Source organism: Homo sapiens, chromosome 10 (genome assembly GCF_000001405.40).
Source record: "Homo sapiens chromosome 10, GRCh38.p14 Primary Assembly".
NCBI lineage: Eukaryota > Metazoa > Chordata > Mammalia > Primates > Hominidae > Homo > Homo sapiens.
In genome coordinates this window covers 69,531,482-69,551,506 of record NC_000010.11, presented here as the reverse complement: position 1 = coordinate 69,551,506, position 20,025 = coordinate 69,531,482, and the positions used below count along the sequence as shown (strand labels likewise).

Below are 20,025 nucleotides of genomic sequence, written 5' to 3'. Positions count from 1 at the left end.
GAATCTGAGCAGGGGAGTAAGAGGAGGAAAGCTGAGGCTGTCCCTCCCCACTGGGCTCGCCTGAGGCTCCCTTGGTCCTTTCTGAGCCCAGAGGTCCAGCACACTTCACAGGGCACCTGTGCATTAATATTTCTCTTTACCTTGTCTTACCATCGATCCCTTCCCCTTCCAGGACCCCATGCTCAAGCTCCCATGGTCAATCACATATGGCAGGTAGGAGAGGAGTCCAGTATCCTTTTCCTATCCAGGAGCTGGCAGTCAAGCCAGCCATTGTAGTGGGGGAAGTATCTCCATAAATACTGATTTCTAAACCAATTAAGAAATTAGACAAAGAAGCAAGGCAGATAGAGACCAAGTATCACATTTGCTACCAATGAGGCTGACTTTGAAGAACATGGCTCATGGCTGCAGGCAAGCAGACTGTTAAACATGGAAACCTAGAATTAGTCAGACATGCCCATAGGTCATAAGCAACACTGGACCATCACTAGCCTCTCCTGCTCACAAGGGCAGAGCAGAAATGTGTTTACGTTTCAGGTAGCTTGTACCCAAGGATGGGGTGAGCTACCCAGTAGCCTGGACTGCTACTGCCAAACTCACCAATCAGATAAGTCACTCAATATTCGCTGGAGCAGAATGAAAGAGAGAGCAGGGAGAAGCCAGGTGTGTTATACCAATGGGGTCCCTACACACAGAAGGAAACATCAAGATTTCATTTTATCTCTATTATTGGCTTAGTCGCTATGCCTCTTCATTACTCTCTTAGTGTTGCTCTAGGGCTTACAATATACTTGCTTAACTTATCACAGTCTATCATCAAATAAGATTATAATAATATATTATATACTTCATGTATACCTTAAGAACCTTACAACATACTTCCATTTTTCCCTCTTATCCTTTGTGCTGTTGTCATCATACACTTTCTACATGTATTATAAACTGCCAAATATATCATTATTACTTTTGCTTTACACAATCAACATATTTTATATTTACCCACATCTCTGTCATTTCCTGCTTTCTTCACTCCTTTCTGTAGATCCAAGTTTCTACCTGATACCATTTTCCTTCTCCTAAAGAATTTCCTTTAATGTTTCTTATAGAGCAAGTCTGCTGGCAACAAATTCTACTACTTTAGCTTGCATTTTTAAAAAAATTTTATTTCATCTTAATTTTTGAAAGGTACTTTCACTGTGAACATAATTCTAGGTTAATAGGTTTTTGGGGTTTTCTTCTTTCAGCATTTAAAGATGTTTCATTGTCTTCCAGCTTGCATAGTTTCTGATGAGTAGTCTGCTGTCATTGTTATCTTTGTTCCTAGGTACATAATGTCTTTTCTTAATTTTCCTCTGACTGCTTTTAAGATTTTATCTTTATCACTGGCTTTCAGCAATTTAAATGTAATGCTCCCTGGTGTGATTTTATTTTTATTTATCATGCTTGGGGTTCCTTGAGCTTCTTTGATCTGGATTTATAGCTGTCATCAAATTTGGAAAATGTTTGCCCATTATTTTTTCAAAATGTTTTTTCTGCCCCCACATCCCCTTTTGCGACTCCAGTGTTATGTCTGTCGGACTGCTTGACATTGTCCCATAGATCAGTGATATTGGTTTTTATCTCACTCTTTTTTTCCTCTCTGTGCTTCGTTTGAGATCGTTTCTAAGGTGTGTCTTCAAGTTCACTGATCTTTTCTTTTGCAGTATCTAATTAGCTTTTCATCCTATCTGGTAACATTTTCATTTTAAACACTGTATTTTTCCTCCCTTAGGAGTTCTGTTTGAGTCTTCTTATCTTCAATTTATTTCCTCATTATGTTCATGCTTTTCTCTAAATTGTTGAGCATATCTGTAAGAATCATTTTAATATCTGTCATTTCCAGATATATTTTCATTGATTGCTTTTTCTCCTAGTATTCTGTAGTGAGCAGGTCTGTGCAAACCTACCTCCAAAGGCCAAGGAAGCTGAGAATCCAAAGAAAGAGGCTGACAAATCCAGTTTATCAGAAAGAAAAATTTAATAGGGACTTATTAACAGAAGCCATGTCTCAGATGGTGGTAAGACAAGATGGTGGATCCCCACACCATTATCCCTGCCCCAGACCCAGGGTTTATATACCATAGGGAAGGAGTGTATAAGACAGTTGAATTCAACTCCTCAGGGAAAGGCAAGAATGCTGTGTTAGTCTGCCTGAGAGAAGAATTTATTATCAAGGTTGTTTTGACCTCTGGGCAACATGTATGATAACAGTAGATAAAGTAGAAATCTTACAGGCCTTCCCAGAACAGGGTTAATCAGAAGTCAACATGGCAGATTAGCATCCAAGATGGAGTTGCTTTAGCATCCACATCTAATTATGGGTAACATATTTCTAATTCTGTGTATTTCTAGTCATTCTTGATTAGATGCTGGGTAATGCAAATTTACATCATTGAGTGCTTGATTTTATTGTATTCCATTAAAGAGGGGTTGCATTTTGTCCTGGAGGCCATTAAAAGACAACTATAATCTTTTTAAAGCTTGTTTTTAAGCTCTTAAAAAATGGGACTACAGTAACCTTCACTCTAGAGCTAGGTTAGCCCCACCATTGAAATATGACCCTTCTAGAATCTTTCATCAAATATATAAATGCCTCACATATTATAGCAATGCGTCTCCATCCTGGTTAGTAGAACCTCAAATGATTCCCCAACCTGTGTGAACTCTAAGAATCTTTTTATCTTACTTCTCCCAAGTAATTGTCCTTTCCCTGGATTTTTTTTTTAGTTAGCTTCATGGGAACTCAAGGGAGCTCTATGCATGTTTCTGAAACTTTCTCTGTAAAAATCTTTCCACTACGTGCAAACCCTAGCTGCCTCAACCTCCTGAATTCTCTTCTTTGTATCCTCAACTCAGCAAGACCACCAGGCTCTCTTTGGGTTCCCCATCCCTGCATCACAGACCAGAAATCTCCAGCAGAAAGCCAGGTGATCACAGGGCTCACCTCATTTGTTTCCATTCTCTCAAGGATCACAGTCCATTGTCTGAAAACTGTTATTTCATATGTTTTGTCAAGTTTTCTGTTTACAGGAGAATGGTAAGTCTGTCTCAATTATAGGGCTTCCCTTACAACTGGAAGCAGAAGTCTAGAAAGAAACATCAGGAGTAAGGAAATGTTCTGCCTATGCAGCTCCTGTACAATAATGAGGACTGGACTATCTTAGGATCATACCTGTCTTCTGAGGGATATGTGGTTTGATCATCTAGCTACAACACCATAATGCAATGGAAAGAATCAAGGATCAGTAGTCTAGTTTTGCCTCCACACTGTCTGTAGTGGCATTTTTTGTGTTTGTCTGCCCCCGATCCTTTCCCCCCTTTCTGATTACAGCACTCACCTTCCTTTGGAGAACTGCTCCTCCCCAATTCCATGTGGTTCTTCTTCAGTTACCAGTCACAGTGCCCTCCAGACCACAGGGATGAGTATGTGATTCAAGCCTCTCCCTTCAGAGCTCTTCATCCCCTTGCCTCAGTTACTGGTTCAGGAATGAATACATTATCCAAATTGGGTCAATGACAACCATTTCTTAAGATTTTTAGATGAATGCTAGGAAAGAACATATTTTTCCAGGGGCATCACTAGGCTGGATTGACATAAGCTCATAGCTTTCTGCCACCAGATCTACCATCTACTCTTCACCCATCTCTGCAATAGAAGTCATCAGGGTAGAAGGCCTGAGGAGGCAGACAGAGGGAGTGACAGGTGATGTGTTCTTGGAGTCTCTAAGGTCAGCTCTAATCTACCTCGGCACTTCCTGCTTATGTGAACCAATAAATTCCCTTTCCTACTTGTTTGAATTGGTTTTCTGTCACTTTCAACCAAAAAACTCTATTTACTTCCTGTTTCTGGGTCTTAGTCCAGATGTCTTCAAAGTGCACTGTATGAACTCCAAGGAGTGCATACATAAAATGATGCACTGATATGTGGGAAAAATATAAGACTTTCTATTTATGAGAGTAGACATTTTCTGATGGAAAAGGGTATATCAAAATGGCAGAATAGCAACAACATGAAGAACAGACTTCATCCTCCAGAGTGCAGGGCCAGGGTCTGATTCATGTTTATCTCTCCCAGCAGTGAGCACAGGGCCTGGTTCATAGATGATATCAAATAAAAAATTATGGGACATGTGAATAAATAAATATGAAAAGACAAGGAGTGTTTAGATAAGTGCCTATAGTGGGGTATAGGGTGCATAGCACATGGAAGATGAAGAGCAAGTGATAGGAGTTTTGTTAAGGGATGGCACAGACCTTTTTTTTTTTGAGATGGAGTCTCACTCTGTTGCCCAGGCTGGAGTGCAGTGGCGCCATCTCAGCTTACTGCAACTTCCATCTTCTAGGTTCAAGAGATTCTCCTGCCTCAGCCTCCTGAGTAGCTGGGATTACAGGCATGTGATTCCACGCCCGGTTAATTTTTATATTTTTAATTTTGTATTTTAATTAATTTTTAATTTAAATTATGTATTTAAATTTTTTATTTTTGTATTTTAATGAGGTTTCACCATGTTGGCCAGGCTGGTTTTGAACTCCTGACCTCATGTGATCCTCCTGCCTCAGCCTCCCAAAGTGCTGGGATTACAGATGTGAGCCACTGTGCCCGGCCTCACAGAACTCTTTGAGCAGGGAGATTTTTGTGAGACTGGGTTTGAAGGGCTCTTTGTCTGCAGCAGAAAGACTGAGCAGTGACATTTGTTAGGGATCTATGTCAAATAGTCAAAGTATGAGATGATGGAGACTTAGTAGATGAGGAGAGGGGAGGTGCAGGAGAGATTTCAAAGGCAGAATTACCTTGGTGATTGGATGTTGGGTTGGCAAAAACAATGGGGCAGGAGAGGTGTTTGGTTGAAAAGGGAGATGAGGGTGTCAGGGCAGAGTTGAATCAATGAGAACCCAAGAGTTTCCACCTTGGATGCGTAGGACAGAAATTCCAGTGTGAGAAGGTTTGGAGGAAGCATGAGTTCAGTTGATGGCCTCTTGTGTTTTTGAGTTGAGTTATCCAGATGAATGTGTCCCATAGGCCATGGGATTTGTCAAGGATAGAGACAAAAGTTTGGGAGTCATCAGGGAAGAGATAATGTTAAAACAATGAGTCTGGTTACAGATGAGAAGGCCAAGGAATAAACCCCAGGCACATTCAAGGGGTAGGGTCAACACTGCCAAACTGCACTACTCCAGAGAGTATCTGGAATCTAGAGACTACGCAGGCTCTCTGTTTGTGCATACACACACTGCCCTGGCAGCAGAAGCCCTGGGTGGGCCCCTAGGAAGACGCACATGGAATGATCAGAGAGGTTAGAAGAGTCCAGGAAGAGAGTGGAGTTCTGGAAGCCAAAAGATTGAGTCTTAACAAAATCAAATGCCACAAGGAGGTGAAGAATACGGACTAGGAATGGGTAGATAGCAAGGAAATACAAGGTAAACTCGGCCACCCACTAGCTGGGATTTTTGTTTGTTTGGTTTTTTTGTTTGTTTGTTTGTTTTTTGCTTTGTTTTGTTTTGTTTTATTTTTGAGACAGAGTCTCACTCTGTCACCCGGGCTGGAGTGCAGTGGCACGATCTCAGCTCACAGCAACCTTGGCCTCCCGGGTTCAAGAAATTCTCCTGCCTCAGCCTCCCGAGTAGCTGGGATTACAGGTGCCCACCACTACGCCCAGCTAATTTTTTGTATTCTTAGTAGAGACGAGGTTTCACCATGTTGGCCAGGCTAGTCTCGAACTCCTGACTTTGTGATTCGCCTGCCTCCGCCTCCCAAAGTGCTGGGATCACAGGCGTGAGCCACCGCACCCAGCCTAGCTGGGATTTTTAAGCAAGTTAGCCAGCCTCAGCTACCTCCTAGAGTAGTGGAGGGTAAAGCAGTTAATCCCTTAGGTGTTTAGGAAATCCTGGTGCCTGCTTTTGTTGGCTATGATTATTATTTAAGCTTCACCTTCTTTAAGCTTCTTTGACTGCCTCCGACTGTGCAGATCATCCTCACCTTAGCCCTTCCCCTCAGCCTCCCTCCCCAGGCATCTGACTTGACCGGTGAGCCCGCTGAGGACTTAGGGGTGCCCCTGAGTCTCTGGATGAAACCCGCATTTCCGTAGCCTCCTCTCCTCCAGTATTCTGAGAACAGAGATGGCCTGGGGAGATCAGAGGGGAGCAGGAAGTCCCCAAAGCCCAGGGTGGTCCTTGTCCACTTTTGGACACAAATCTGAGTGGGTGGAGCTTAACCTGAGCCATGCCCTCTAGCAAGCACTGCCCCTCCCTCAGCCTTCCCACTTGGCCTGAATCTCCCGGGGGTAAAGGGGGAGTGAGGACTAGCACTGTGCCATCCTTGGGGCCTAAACTCCTTTGGGACCAAAGCTCACCAAAAAGCCTCCACAGGACAGGAGAAGCAGGCGGGACCCCCAGTTTGGAGAGGGCATTGAGGAAGATCTGCCCCACCCCACCCCAGGTCCTTGTGCCTCAGGAGACTCCCATTTGCTCTCTTCGGAGCTAGGGAGTTCAGTCGGCTGGGGGAGAGGGTGAGGCAAGGCGTGGGAGCCACAAAGGGGCGCGCTGTGTGGCCTCCAGGCCGCTGGCTTTTGAAGGCCGATTTGCTCTGGCTGAGCCAGAGGAAGCGAATGCTAATTTCCTCCTAGATGGGGTCTGTAGCCCTTCCTCCCGAGTCGAAGGGGAGGGAGAGCGGGAGACTGGACACGCTTGTGGCCCTGGAACTGCCATTATCTTCCACCTCCCCCAGGCCTCTCACACTTTCTGGGACTCCAGTGACCACCCCACAACTCACAGAAAGTAGGTCTATCCAGTACTCAATCGTTCCTAACTTTGCCTCTCTTTTCCGGAAGAGGAAAAGAGAGGACTAAGCTAGCTGTTGGGCAACCAAAGTTAAGGGCAGCAAGGCCGTGAAGCCGCCACACCCACTACCCTGGGGGCAGGTGTGGAAGACCTGGAGGCATAGCCTTGCCTGGAGCAGCTTTTGAACCGCTGCGGGAGGGAGGTGTTCCCTTTTCAATCCTCTTCTTCCTCCTGGATTAGACCTGGGAGAAATCTGGATTGCAAACATTTGCTAACCCCACCATCCCATCACTCCCACCCTCCACCCCAGAGAGCCCAAGGCTTTCAGCTCCCTGAGGTTCAACAACATTGGGCTATTTGAATTGTATTTCTATTTAGAATTAGCTTCTACTTTTTCTATTTGCAGTTAGGATATAAACTTCCAAAATACTGAGCTTAAATAATACACTTTAAATAAATGTTTCAAAAAGGGATTAATAGTTTAGGTGGATGCAACAAAGGTAAAAAAGTGTATAATGGGCCTTTGATGACTCAGGTCAGGGAAACTGTAGTCTGATGGGGCAGAGAAATAGGGCTGGGGCCTCTTCTGCACCACTCAGGTTGTTCCACAGGGAGGAAGCCTGATTGCCTGGAGCTCTCAGGGACCTGGAGTTTCCAGGCAGACCCTCTGACCCACTGGAAATCAATTAAAAGCCCCCCAGTTCCAATCTCCCTGCCTGTATGCAGGAGGCCATGTCCTGGAGGCCTGAGGGCTTTGTTCCTTTCCTGGTCTGGGTGGGAGCCTCCCTACACACACACACACACACACACACACACACACACACACACACACACACACACACACACTCCCCTTCTTCCTTCCCTCTCCCCCTCTTCTCCTCCCCTTCTTTCTCCAGGCTGTGAGGCCCCTTCAGGAGCCTCTTTGTGAAGTAATTGGATTTCTCCCCTTGTTAGCTTGCAATGAAAATGTCATCCATTCCGGACCACCGCCAGGGAGGAGCCAAGCCCCCATTCAGCAAGCAGGGCCCAGCGCTGTGAAGCTATTCAGGCCTCCCAGCCTCCCAGTAGGGCAGCTGCAGCTTGGTCTGTCTTCTCTGACAATGCTGCCCTTCCCTCCCCACCTACAAGTGTGCCCAGCCCAGGAGTGGCCCTGACAAGGCTAGGGCTGGGTGGCTGGATTCTGAGGCTGCTAGTAGTCCCCTTGGACTGCTGTTGTCACCACACCTTATCTCAACAAATAGACAGTGGACGAATTTGATTTTAAGTGCATCCCTCCAAATGTCCTTTGGGCATTGGGCACATGGATGGGTTCAGGAAGGGGAGGAAGGAGACTTTTCACCATGAGGAAGTGCCAAGATATTAGGGGTACTTGAAAAGCAGACCGAGATAGACTGCAAAGGGCTGACACTGGGGCAGGAGGAAGGATGTCTTACCCCCCTTTGGAATCACTGTATGTGGTGGAGACCAAATCAGAAACCATCTTGGCACTACCCATACTTAGCTTGAACCACAGACGAATGCATTCTTCTGGCTCTCGGGGTTTCTAGTATTCAGACATCTTCCAGAGTCCTTCCTCATGGCCTTCTAGGCAAAGCAAAGAAATAGGGTGACATGGGATGGAAAGGCAGTGATGTGTATCTCCAACCATGAAAGACTTCCCCTAAAGGGAGAAAGACAAATACCCCACCCCTACCCCAACTATCCAAATGTGGAAACTTTGGTCCAGAGAGGTTGAATACTTGCTCAAAATTGCACAGCTGACAGTGGCCAAGACTTTCAAACCCAGGTCTGTCTCATTCCAAAGCCTGTGTATCTTAATTGTTAGATTTACTGCTCGATATGGCTTGGCTATGTCTCCATCCAAATCTCATCTTGAATTATAGTTCCCATAATCCTCACATGACATAGGAGGGACCCAGTGGGAGGTAATTGAATCATGAGGGAGGTTATCTCCATGCTGTTCTCGTGATAGTGAGTGAATTCTCATGAGATCTGATGGTTTTATGAGGGGCTCCCCCCTGCCACACCGGCCCCCTTTGCTCATTCTTCTCCTTCCTGCTGCCAGGTGAAAAATGATGTATTTGCTTCCCCTTCCATCATGATTGTAAGTTTCCTGAGGCCTCCCCAGCCCTGCAGAACCATGAGTCAATTAAACCTCTTTCCTTCATAAATTACCCAGTGTCAGATATGTCTTTATTAGCAGCATGAGAACAAACTAATACAGTAAATTGGTACCAGGAGTGACATACTAGTATAAATATACCCCAAAATGTGGACGTAACTTTGGAACTAGGTAACAGGCAGAGGTTGGAACAGTCTGGAAGGCTCAGAAGAAGACAGAGAAATGTGGGAAAGTTTGGAACTTCCTAGAGACCTGTTGAATGGCTTTGACCAAAATGCTGATAGTGATGTGGACAATGAAGTCCAGGCTGAGGTGGTCTCAGATGGAGATGAGGAACTTGTTGGAAACTGGAGTAAAGGCCACCCTTGCTATGCAAAGAGACTGGTGGCATTTTCCCCCTGCCCTAGAGATCTGTGGAAATTTGAATATGAGAGAGAGAATTTAGGGTATCTGGCAGAAGAAATTTCTAAGCACCAAAGCGTTCAAGAGGAAGCAGAGCATAAAAGTTTAGAAAATTTGCACCCTGGCAATGCGATAGAAAAGAAAAACTCATTTCTTAGGGGGAAATTCAAGCCCATTGCAGAAATTTGCATAAGTAACGAGGAACCGAATGTTAATCACCAAGACAATGGGGAAAATGTCTCCAGGGAATGTCTGAGAACTTCACAGCAGCCCCTCCCATCAGAGGCCCAGGGGCTTAGGAGGGAAAAATGGTTTGGGGGACCAGTGCATCCCAGTTGCTTCAGTTCCACTTGTGGCTAAAAGGGGTCAATGTATAGCTTAGGCCATTGCTTCAGAAGATGCAAGCCCCAAGCTTTGGCAGCTTACAGGTGTTGAACCTGCAGCTGCACAGAAGTCAAGAATTGAGGTTTGAGAACCTCTGCCTAAATTTCAGACAATGTATGGAAACGCCTGGATGTCCAGGCAAAAGTCTGCTGCAGGGGCGGAGCCCTCAGGGAGAACCTCTGCTAGGACACTGAGGAAGGGAAATGTGGGGATGGAGCCCACTGCTGCACAGAGTCCCCACTGAGGCACTGCCTGGTGGAGCTGTGAGAAGAGGGTCATCATCCTCCACAGGGGTGGAGCTGCCCAAGTCTATGGGATTTCGGACTTGCATGTAGTTCCTTTGTTTTGGCCAATTTCTCCCATTTGGAATGGGTGTATTTACCAAATGCCTGTACCAAATGCCTGTATGTAGGAAGTAACTACTTGCTTAAAGTTCCAAAATGATCTCCTTTGACTCCATGTCTTACATCCAGGTCATGCTGATGCAAGAGGTGGGCTCCTCCTGGCCTCTCTTGGTCTGCCCTCCTCCACCCCTAACTTACCCTCCTCCCACTGAACCCTCCAAACACTTCCTGTATATTCTCTCCAGTATGAACTGCCCCCAGTGATCACTCATGGTCACTGTCTGATTGACATGGCAATGTCCTGATATTTACAAGGACATCAGCCCCTGTATCACAGTGACTCCTTCCCCTCCATCTGCCATCATTCTGGGAAACTTCCACATCCTGAGGAAAATTCACCTGGCACCTCTGTTCCTCAGTCTGGGGATGTTCTCCTTTACTTCATTTCAGCAGCCCACACCCTGGAGGCTGGCACCACCCAGGGCCATCCACTCTGATGTTGCAAATGCTGGAGTCTTCCTGCCAGCTGCAGCCTCCTAGCCCCGCAGCTCTCCTCCTGAACGCAGGACACATCCCCATTGACCTCCCTCACCTTCTCCAAGACCTCGCCCCTCCCACCTGGTCACACTGCTTTCCCTACAGAGCCCAGACCCCAAGGTCCATTTCCTGAACATCTCTAACCACATGCCCAGATCCCCAGACCCCATCTCAGAGAGTCCATCTTGTGGCAGCTCTGCCCTCCAGCATGCAAGCATGTTGGGGTATATCCTCCATAGAGCAGACACACAGACTTCACTCTCACCAAGGCCTCCAGCACCACTTAGGGCAGCCAGCTCTCCTTCAAGAATTGAAAACTTCAGTTGCCACATTCAACCCTCCCACCACATTTTGTCGCTGGGGACCTCATCTCGTAATTCATGGAGAAAAAAATAGAAGCCTTCTGATTGAAATCCCCTCACATTCATGCCCCCTTGCCTACAAGCAGTGGCCAAACGACTATTTCCCAATACCCATCCTCCTCTTTTTCATCTTGGGAGGATTTTAAGCTGTGCATGGGCACCAAAATAAAGACTACATTTGCAGTGGTGCAATCTCAGCTCACTGCAAGCTTTGCCTCCCGAGTTCACACCACTCTCCTGCCTCAGCCTCCTGAGTAGCTGGGACTACAGGTGCCTGCCACCACGCCTGGCTAATTTTTTTAAATGTTTTTTGTAGAGATGGGGTTTCACCGTGTTAGCTAGGATGGTCTCGATCTCCTGACCTCATGATCCACCCACCTTGGCACTTTGAGAGGCCGAGGCAGGTGGATCACTTGAGATCAGGAGTTCGAGACCAGCCTGGCCAACATGGTGAAACCCTGTCTCTACTAAAAATACAAAAATTAGCCGGGCATCATGGTGCATGCCTGTAATCCCAACTATTCAGGTGGCTATGGCAGCCTGGGTGACAGTGAGACTCTGTCTCAAAAAAAAAAAAAGACTACATTTTCCAGCATCCCCCTGCAGCAAAGTGTGGCTGAGGGCTAAGCTCTAGCCTATGTGAGATAAGTAAAAGTGATATATGTGTTTCTGGGTTTCTTCCTTAAAAGGAGGGTGTTGTACACTCTTTCCCATCTTCTTGCTAGCTGGAACATGAACATGATGGCTGGAGCAGGAGCAGCTGTATTGGTCTTGAGGTAAATCTGGAGACAGGTTATTCCCCTGGGAGCAACATAATAGAAGGAATCTGAGCTCCTCTCACCATGGAATCAGCCCCAAACTAATTTCTGGAGACTTCTTCAGCATGAGAGAGACACTCTCTGGTTGGAGCCCTGTTCCTTTTCCTTTTCCTTTGAATTTTCTATTCCTTAATCCTGCAGGGGCTGAGTCTTCTTCTCCTTCTCCTTCTCCTTCTCCTTCTCCTTCTTCTTCTTCTTCTTCTTCTTCTTCTTCTTCTTCTTCTTCTTCTTCTTCTTCTCCTTCTCCTTCTCCTTCTCCTTCTTCTTCTTCTTCTTCTTCCTTCTTCTTCTTCTTTCTTCTTCTTCCTCTTCCTCTTCCTCTTCTTCCTCTTCCTCTTCTTCTTCTATTTTTTTTGTTACATGAATGAGTTCTTTAGTGGTAGTTTCTGAGATTTTGGTGTAGCCATGACCTGAGCAGTGTACACCATACCCAGTGTGTAGTCTTTTATCCCTCACTCCCCTCCCACCCTTTCCTGCAAGTCTCCGAAGTCCATTATATCATTCTTATGCCTTTGTGTCCTCATAGCTTATCTCCCACCTATACATGAGAACATACAATATTTGGTTTTCCATTCCATCTCAGAGGCCTTCAAGCCCCCAGGCCTGGTTCCTACTCTATCAACTGCTCTCTGTCTCCAAAAGACTGTCCTTGCTAATGTCACCAAGGACCTCTATGAGCCAAATTTAGGACTTTTCAGCCTTCATTTGACTCCCAGTCCCTTCAATATTGAAGGCTGTTGACTACCCCTTCATTTGGAATCTCTCTGTCCCTTCTTTCATGTCCTCACACTCTCTCTGACTAGTCCTCCCTCAAGCTTCTCACAAGGAATGGCTTCCCTTTTCTTCATACTGCACACTACTGCAGGGTAAGTTAATCTAGCTCTTTGCAGGGAGCTGTGGACAGAGCTTGGACACACAGGCTGGGGCGTCTACACGTGCATGCAAGCTCTCAACACACAGGAAGGAACTGGAGGTGGGAAAATAACTCTCAGGCTGGTCATGATCTCTCAAACCAGAATTCCCTTCATGCCAGCTGCCTATGGAGCCTCTAGTCAGTCATTGTGATGGTCATGAGTGACCTCACTGAGTGCTGACTGTGAGCCAGGCTGAGTGATGCACTTTACGTGGATTATCACCCTCTGTGGAGTCCCACACTCCTGTGACTCAGGTGTTGTTACTTCCCTTCAAGGCATCAAGAAGTTAAGGGACTACCCAAGGCCACTGTAGCTAGTAAGTGGGGAAGGTGGGATTCACACCCAGGGGTCTTGCTCCAGAGCCTGGGCCTAAAACCACTCAATATCTTCAAACAAACCTCCTGCTCCTCTGTCAGCCCTTTGTATATCAGAGGTGCCATTATTCATGCCCTCAGAAAAGCCAGGGTCCTGGGAGGAGGGGTCCTCACCTCTCAGACAGGGTCATCACCTCTTACCTCTTTCTCCGACCCACATTCAGCCATCACTAAACCAGGCAAACCCCCATATCAGTAACTTTCAAATCCATTCCTGTTAGGGAATGAATGTTTGTTTCCCCCCTCCATTCCTGTGTTGAAGCTCTAACACTCACTGTGATGGTATTTGGTGATGGGGCCTTTGGAAGGTGATTAGGTTTAGATGAGGTCATGAAGGTGGGGTCCTCACAATGGGATTAGTGCCCTTATAAGAAGAGACTCCAGGGCTTCCTCTCTACCACATGAGGACAGAGTGAGAAGATGGCTGTCTGCAACTGCCCTAAGGGCCATCACAAGAACTCAACCGTGCAGGTCTTGATCTCAGACTTCCAGCCTCCAGAACTGTAAGAAATAAATGTCTGTTGCTTAAGGCCCCCAGCCTATGGTATTTTGTTATAGCAGCCTGAACTAAGACAATTCCCAGTCCCCACCCTCAGGATCCACACCACCACTTCCTTAGTTTGGGCCTCCATCAGATCATGCCAGGACTCTTTCCAGAGCTTCCTGTTAGGGACGGAATCACGTTCTTCCCAGAAATTCATATGCTGGTGTCCTGACTTGTCAGAACCTCAGAATGTGTTCTTATTTGGAAATAGGGTCATTGTAGATGTAATGAGTTAGGATGACGTCATAGTGGAGCAGGATAGGCCTCTAATCCAAGATGACTGCTGTCCTTATAAAAAGGGGAAACGCCATGTGAAGATTATGGATTTCTGCTGCCACAAGCCAAGTAACTACCAGAAGCCAGGAGAGAGGGCTGGAGCAAGGGAGCCTGGCCCTGACGACACCTTGATCTCAGACTTCGGGCCTCCATAATTGTGAGATGATCAGTTTCTGTTGTTCTAAGCCACCCAGTTTTCAGCACAGATGGTACCTGACTTACGATATTTCACTTAATGATTTTTCAACTTTACGATGTTGCAAAAGCAATGCACATTCAGTAGAAATCAGACTTCAGATATTATATTTTGATCTTTTCCCAGGCCAGCCATATGCAGTGCCATACTCTTTCACGGTGCTGCAGCCCAGCTCCCAGTCAGCCACATGGTCATGAGGGTGAACGGTTGTTGCCCTGCAGCCTGGTCCTGACTTTATTATAATTCTTAAAACCCACTGTTATGGATTGAATTCCCAACTACCCCACCCCCAACAAATTAATATGTTGAAACCCTAATCCCTAATGTGACTGTATTTGGAGACAGGGCCTTTAAGGGGTAATTAGGGTTAAATGAGGTCATAAGGGTGGGGCCCTAATGGAATAGGACTGCTGTGCTTTTTTTTTTTTTTTTCAAGATGTAGTTTCACTCTTCTTGCCCAGGCTGGAGTGCAGTGGCATGATCTTGGCTCACTGCAACTTCTGCCTCCTGAATTCAAGTGATTCTCATGCCTCAGCCTCCCGAATAGCTGGGATTACAGGTGTGTGCCACCACTCCTGGCTAATTTTGTATTTTTAGTAGAGACGGGGTTTCGCCGTGTTGGTCAGGCTGGTCTCAAACTCCTGACCTCAAGTGATCCACCCGCCTCGTCCTCTCAATGTGTTGGGATTACAGGCACGAGCCACCATGCCCGACCAGGACCGGTGTTCTTATAAGAAGAGAGAGACATCAGGAATGGGTGTGTACAGAGAAAAGGACACAGCAAGATGGTGGCCATTTGCAAGCCAAGGAGAGAGACCTCAGGAGAAACCAACCCGCCAGCACCTTGATCTTAGACTTCCAGTCTCCAAAATTGGGAGAAAATAAACGTTTGTTGTTTAAGACCCCAATCTGATATTTTGTAATGGCAGCCCTAGCAGACGAATACACCCACTGTACCATCTCTTTACCCCAGTAGACTATGAAACCCTTGGGGACAGGCACCATTTCTTCATCCCTCTGTATTTCAATGCCTAGCATAGTGTCTGGTACCTGGAAGATGGCCAAAAAATACTATCTGAAGGAATGGTCAATGAGCATGTGTGACTCTTACATGACAATATAATACTGGTCAAATGCCAGATCAGAACCTTGAGATGGCTCCCATGGAGTCATTAACATGCTCTAATTCACTAATTGAGGTAGCAATTGATCTGGGGCTGGAGTCAGGAAGGGATAGGTTACAGTGAAGTGTCAAATAGAACCTGTTCACTGAGTTCCCTTGGCCCAGTGCTTGATGACAGGATGTCAAACATTTTTATTCCCAAAAAGGTGGCTTCCTCAATCCTGTACATGAATTGGTGGCAGTGGGATGAACTAAGCGACCTCCGGCCTTCCCTCCTACTAAGTAAGTTCAGGTTCGAAGATGCTCCATCCCTGCCATTTCTGAACTCCTCTGGGTCTGGTTTTTAGGAAAAGGCACAGGATTTGCCCCCACAACCCCTGGGACAGTGGGAGAGAGTTGGGAGAAAATCTCTGCAGCTCTTCCTTGAGATGAGGGATGGACAGCGAGCAGGCTCTCTATCCCCCAAAGCCACATATCCTCCAAGTCTCACTCTGGACTGGGTTCACATCACTCTACAGAGGATTTATTGAGCATCTCCTGAATGTAAGGGCATGTGTCAGATGAGAGTGAGGGCCAGGATGCATAGAAATAAATGGAACCATAGCCTCAGGGAGTTGGGTGTGGGTGCCAGGGGCAGAAAGCTGGCCCTAGACACTGAAGGTGAAAGCTTTCAAATCACACCAGATATTCTATTTCTTAGCTAGAATGACTTTATAAGGTGTTTATTATTTGGTTACTCCATGGTACTGTTCATATAAGAGAAGTGGCATAAATGCTTGATTCTTTCCCTTTAATTACCAGGATCTAAGACAACGCATTGCTTCTCTGTCACCCTCCAAAAAAGACAAATTGGTTTGTGGGTTTTATTTTTTTAGTATTATTATTAACTCATGGGTTAAGCATTTGATAGATTTCAGTCCATTATAATTATTACCCTCATTGAAGCTCACATTGTCCCATTTTGGCTACTGGGAGCCTCTTCAAGTTGACTCCTGGGTCCTTTTGACATAACCTTTGTGGCTTAAGAAGTTCCTCTCTGTCTGGTATGATAAGATATTCCAGATTCCTCTCACAATATTTCTCTAAAAGCCTGGTTTATTTTTCATAGGAAAGGGTATTTCAGTGCTATAATCTTGGTCCTAGGAATGCTCACCGCATTTGGGTGGTCATTATGCCCAGATGTTTTTGGTCAACAGAACTAGAAAATAGAAATAAAATATGTAAATATTTTAAGATAAAATACCTCAACAGTTCATACGGGGTTTTCCAATTCAAATTCAATATTAGAATTTGGGGTTTTGTTGTTTTTTGAGACAGAATCTCACCCTGTCACCCAACCTGGAATGCACTGGCATGAACACAGCTCACTGCAGCCTCGACCTCCTGGGCCCAAGCAATCCTCTAACACTCAGCCTCCCGAGTAGCTAGGACCACAGGTGTGCACCACCATACCCTGCTTTTTTTTTTTTTTTTTTTAAGATACAGGGTCTCACTCTGTTGCCCAGGCTGGTCTCAAACTCCGGGCCTCAGACAATCCTCCCACCTCAGCCTCCCAAGGTGCAGGGATTACAGACATGAGCCACTACACCTGGCCCAATATTATAGAGTTTCTATTTAACATCTACTATATTACATCTGTATCTTCTTTCTTCCATGCCAAGAATTCTGGCATACACAGAGGATCAACTGATTAGAAATCTCATAAACACTCATTTGCTTTTTTCCACATTGTACACACAACAGTATCAGAATAGTCATACTAATACTATCACCACCGATATGATTATTGAAAATGTTTTAAAATATTTTTGATAAGCTCTTTCATTCTCCTTGTGCCCCCATTATTTTGAGGGATTGTACCATAATTACACAATCAGATCATATAACCATTACATTCTACAAGTATCTATATGTTAACATTCACCACCAGTCTTTACGCTGGTGTCTCTCTATTCTTTCTGGTTGTCTGAAGCTCCTCTAGTAGATTCCACAGGAAGGGGCAATGGAAACAATGTTCCCTGAGTTCCCACATGTTGGTAACAGTTTGTCTCTGCTTTTGTACTTAAAAGTCACCTTTGCTGGATATAAAATCCTTGGTTTACACTTTCTTTCATTGAAGATCTTAAATATGTTACTCCATTTTCTTCTGGCATGAAGTATTACTGCCTAAAAGTATGATAATAATCCAATTTTCTTTCACTTCTAACTTAAGGAGTTTTTTTGCCTAGATGACCAGAGAATTTTTATTTTTCTTCAAAGCCTAGTAATTTTCCTAGAGTATTGTGTGGAAAACACAAACTGTTTTTCCTCTGCTCCCATGCCACATCTAATAAAGAATACATCTATGACCAAATGTCTGTGGGTTTTTCCAGAACACCAAACAAGCAATCAATTCTGCAGCAGACGCCATCTGGGTGTCCACTAATTCAATTCTGACACTATCTACCTTGATACAGCATCAGATAACACAGGTTGAGCACTCAGTACGCAAAGACTGCTCCCCACTTTTGATGCCAATCACAAGCCCTAGGTTGTTTTACCTGTGCTTCTGACCAACTGACTATAAATTGGGGTTCCCATGAACCCGTCCTTGGGTTTGATTAATTTTCTTTTTTCTATATTTTTTCTTTTTCCATAAGTTATTGGGGTATGGATGGTGTTTGGTTGCATGAGTAAGTTATTTAGTGGGGATTTGTGAGATTTTGGTGCACCCATCATCCCAGCAGTATACACTGCACCCTATTTGTAATCTTTTATTCCTTGCCCACTCTCCCCCTTCCCCGCAAGCCACCAAAGTCCATTGTATCATTCTTATGCCTTTGTGTCCTCATAGCTTGGCTCCCACATGTCAGTGAGAACAAACGATGTTTGGGTTTCCATTCCTGAGTTACTTCACTTAGAATAATAGTCTCCAATCTCATCTAGGTTGCTGTGAATGCCATTAATTCATTCCTTTTTATGGCTTAGTATTCCGTTTTATATATATATATATCACAGTTTCTTTATCCACTCATTGATTGATGGGCATTTGAGTTGGTTCCATGATTTTGCAATTGCAAATTGTGCTGCTATAAACATGCATCTGCAAGTATCTTTTTCATATAATGACTTCTTTTCCTCTAGTAGTGGGATTGCTGGATCAAATGGTAGTGCTACTTTTAGTTCTTTAAGGACTCCCCACACTGTTTTCCATAGCGGTTGTACTAGTTTACATTCCCACCAGCAGTAGAGAAGTGTTCCCTGATCACCGCATCCACACCAGCATCTACTGTTTTTTGATTTTTTGATTATGACCATTCTTGCAGGACTAAGGTGGTAACGCATTGCAATTTGATTTGCTTTTCCCTGATTGTTGGTGATGCTGAGCATTTTTTCATATGTTTGTTGGGCATTTGTATACCTTCTTTTGAGAATTTATTCATGTTCTTAGGCCACTTTTTGATGGGATTGTTTGCTTTTTTCTTGATGATTTGTTTGAGTTCATTGTAGATTCTGGATATTAGTCCTTTGTCAGATGTATAGATTGTGAAGATTTTCTCCCACTCTGTGGGTTGTCTGTTTACTCTGCTGACTGTTCCTTTGCTGTGCAAAGGCTCTTTAGTTTAATTAAGTCCTAGCAATTTATCTTTGTTTTTATTGCATTTGCTTTTGGGTTCTTGGTCATGAAATCCTCGCCTAAGCCAATGTCTATAAGGGTTTGTCCGATGTTATCTTCTAGAATTTTTATAGTTTCAAGTCTTAGATTTAAATCCTTAATCCATCTTGAGTTGATTTTTGTATAAGGTGAGAGATGAAGGTCGAGTTTCATTCTCCTACATGCGGCTTGCCAATTATCCTAGCACAATTCGTTGAAAAGGGTGTCCTTTCCCCATGTTATGTTTTTGTTTGCTTTGTTGAAGATCAGTTGGCTGTAAGTATCTGGGTTTATTTCTGGGTTCTCTATTCTGTTCCATTGGCCTATGTGCCTATTTTTATACCAGCACCATGCTGTTTTGGTGACTACGGCCTTATAGTATAGTTTGAAATCAGGTAGTGTGATGCCTCCAGATATGTTCTTTTTGCTTAGTCTTGCTTTGGCTATGTGGGCTCTTTTTTGGTTCCATATTCTAAAACAATTTTTTTAACTGTGAAGAATGATGATGGTATTTTTAGGGGAATTGCATTGAATTTGTAGATTGCTTTTGGCAGTATGGTCATTTTCACAATATTAATTCTGCCCATCCATGAGCATGGGATGTGTTTCCATCTGTTTGTGTCATCTATGATTTCTTTCAGCAGTGTTTTTTAGCTTTCCTTGTAGAGGTCTTTCATCTTCTTTGTTAATATTCCTAAGTTTTTTTTTTGTTTTTTTTTTGTTTTGTTTTGTTTGTTTGTTTGTTTTGCAGCTATGTAAAAGGGGTTGAGTTCTTGATTTGTCATAGGTGGCTTTTGTTACATTGAGGGAAGTCCCTTGTATGCCAGTTTTGCTGAGTTTTAATTGTAAAGTGATGCTGGATTTTGTTGAATGTTTTTTCTGCATCTATTGAGATAATCGTGTGATTTTTGTTTTTAATTCTGTTTATGTGCTATACCACATTTATTGACCTTTTGTGCAGGTATATCTTTCTGGCATGCTTTTTTTGTTTGTAGTAATATTATTCTCCCCCTTATTCTCTTTTTTCTTACAATACTTTGGGGTTGTTTGTTTGTTTGCTTTTTGAGACAGTCTCACTGTGTCACCCAGGCTGGAGTGCAGTGGCACAATCATGTCTCACCACAGACTTGACCTCCCAGACTCAGGTGATCCTCCCACCTCAGCCTCCTGAGTAGCTGG

The 20,025-nt window shown here is 44.5% G+C and overlaps 1 protein-coding gene and 1 long non-coding RNA gene across 9 annotated transcripts in view; one reads left to right on the top strand and one right to left on the bottom strand.

Moving 5' to 3' along the window:
- Positions 1–1,998: 1,998 nt before the first annotated feature.
- TSPAN15 (tetraspanin 15) overlaps positions 1,999–20,025 on the bottom strand; it is a 98,044-nt gene continuing 80,017 nt past the window's right edge. For 3 of the 4 annotated variants that reach the window (XR_001747072.2, XR_007061952.1, XM_017016010.2), the window contains one exon: positions 1,999–8,400. The gene's annotated coding sequence lies outside the window, so the exon portion shown is untranslated. The remainder of the gene's footprint in view (positions 8,401–20,025) is intronic. The other variant, XR_007061951.1, reaches the window with a different exon arrangement.
- On the top strand, positions 12,579–15,497 carry LOC105378345 (uncharacterized). Of its 5 annotated transcripts, XR_001747483.2 has the most exons (4): positions 12,943–13,015; positions 13,485–13,576; positions 13,917–14,050; positions 14,783–14,868. It is a non-coding gene; the product is annotated as an uncharacterized LOC105378345 (long non-coding RNA). The 5 variants fall into 5 exon arrangements; XR_007062178.1 differs by lacking the exons at positions 12,943–13,015; positions 13,485–13,576 and adding an exon at positions 12,579–12,651; XR_007062177.1 differs by lacking the exons at positions 13,485–13,576; positions 14,783–14,868 and adding an exon at positions 15,419–15,497 and having other exon boundaries at positions 12,927–13,015.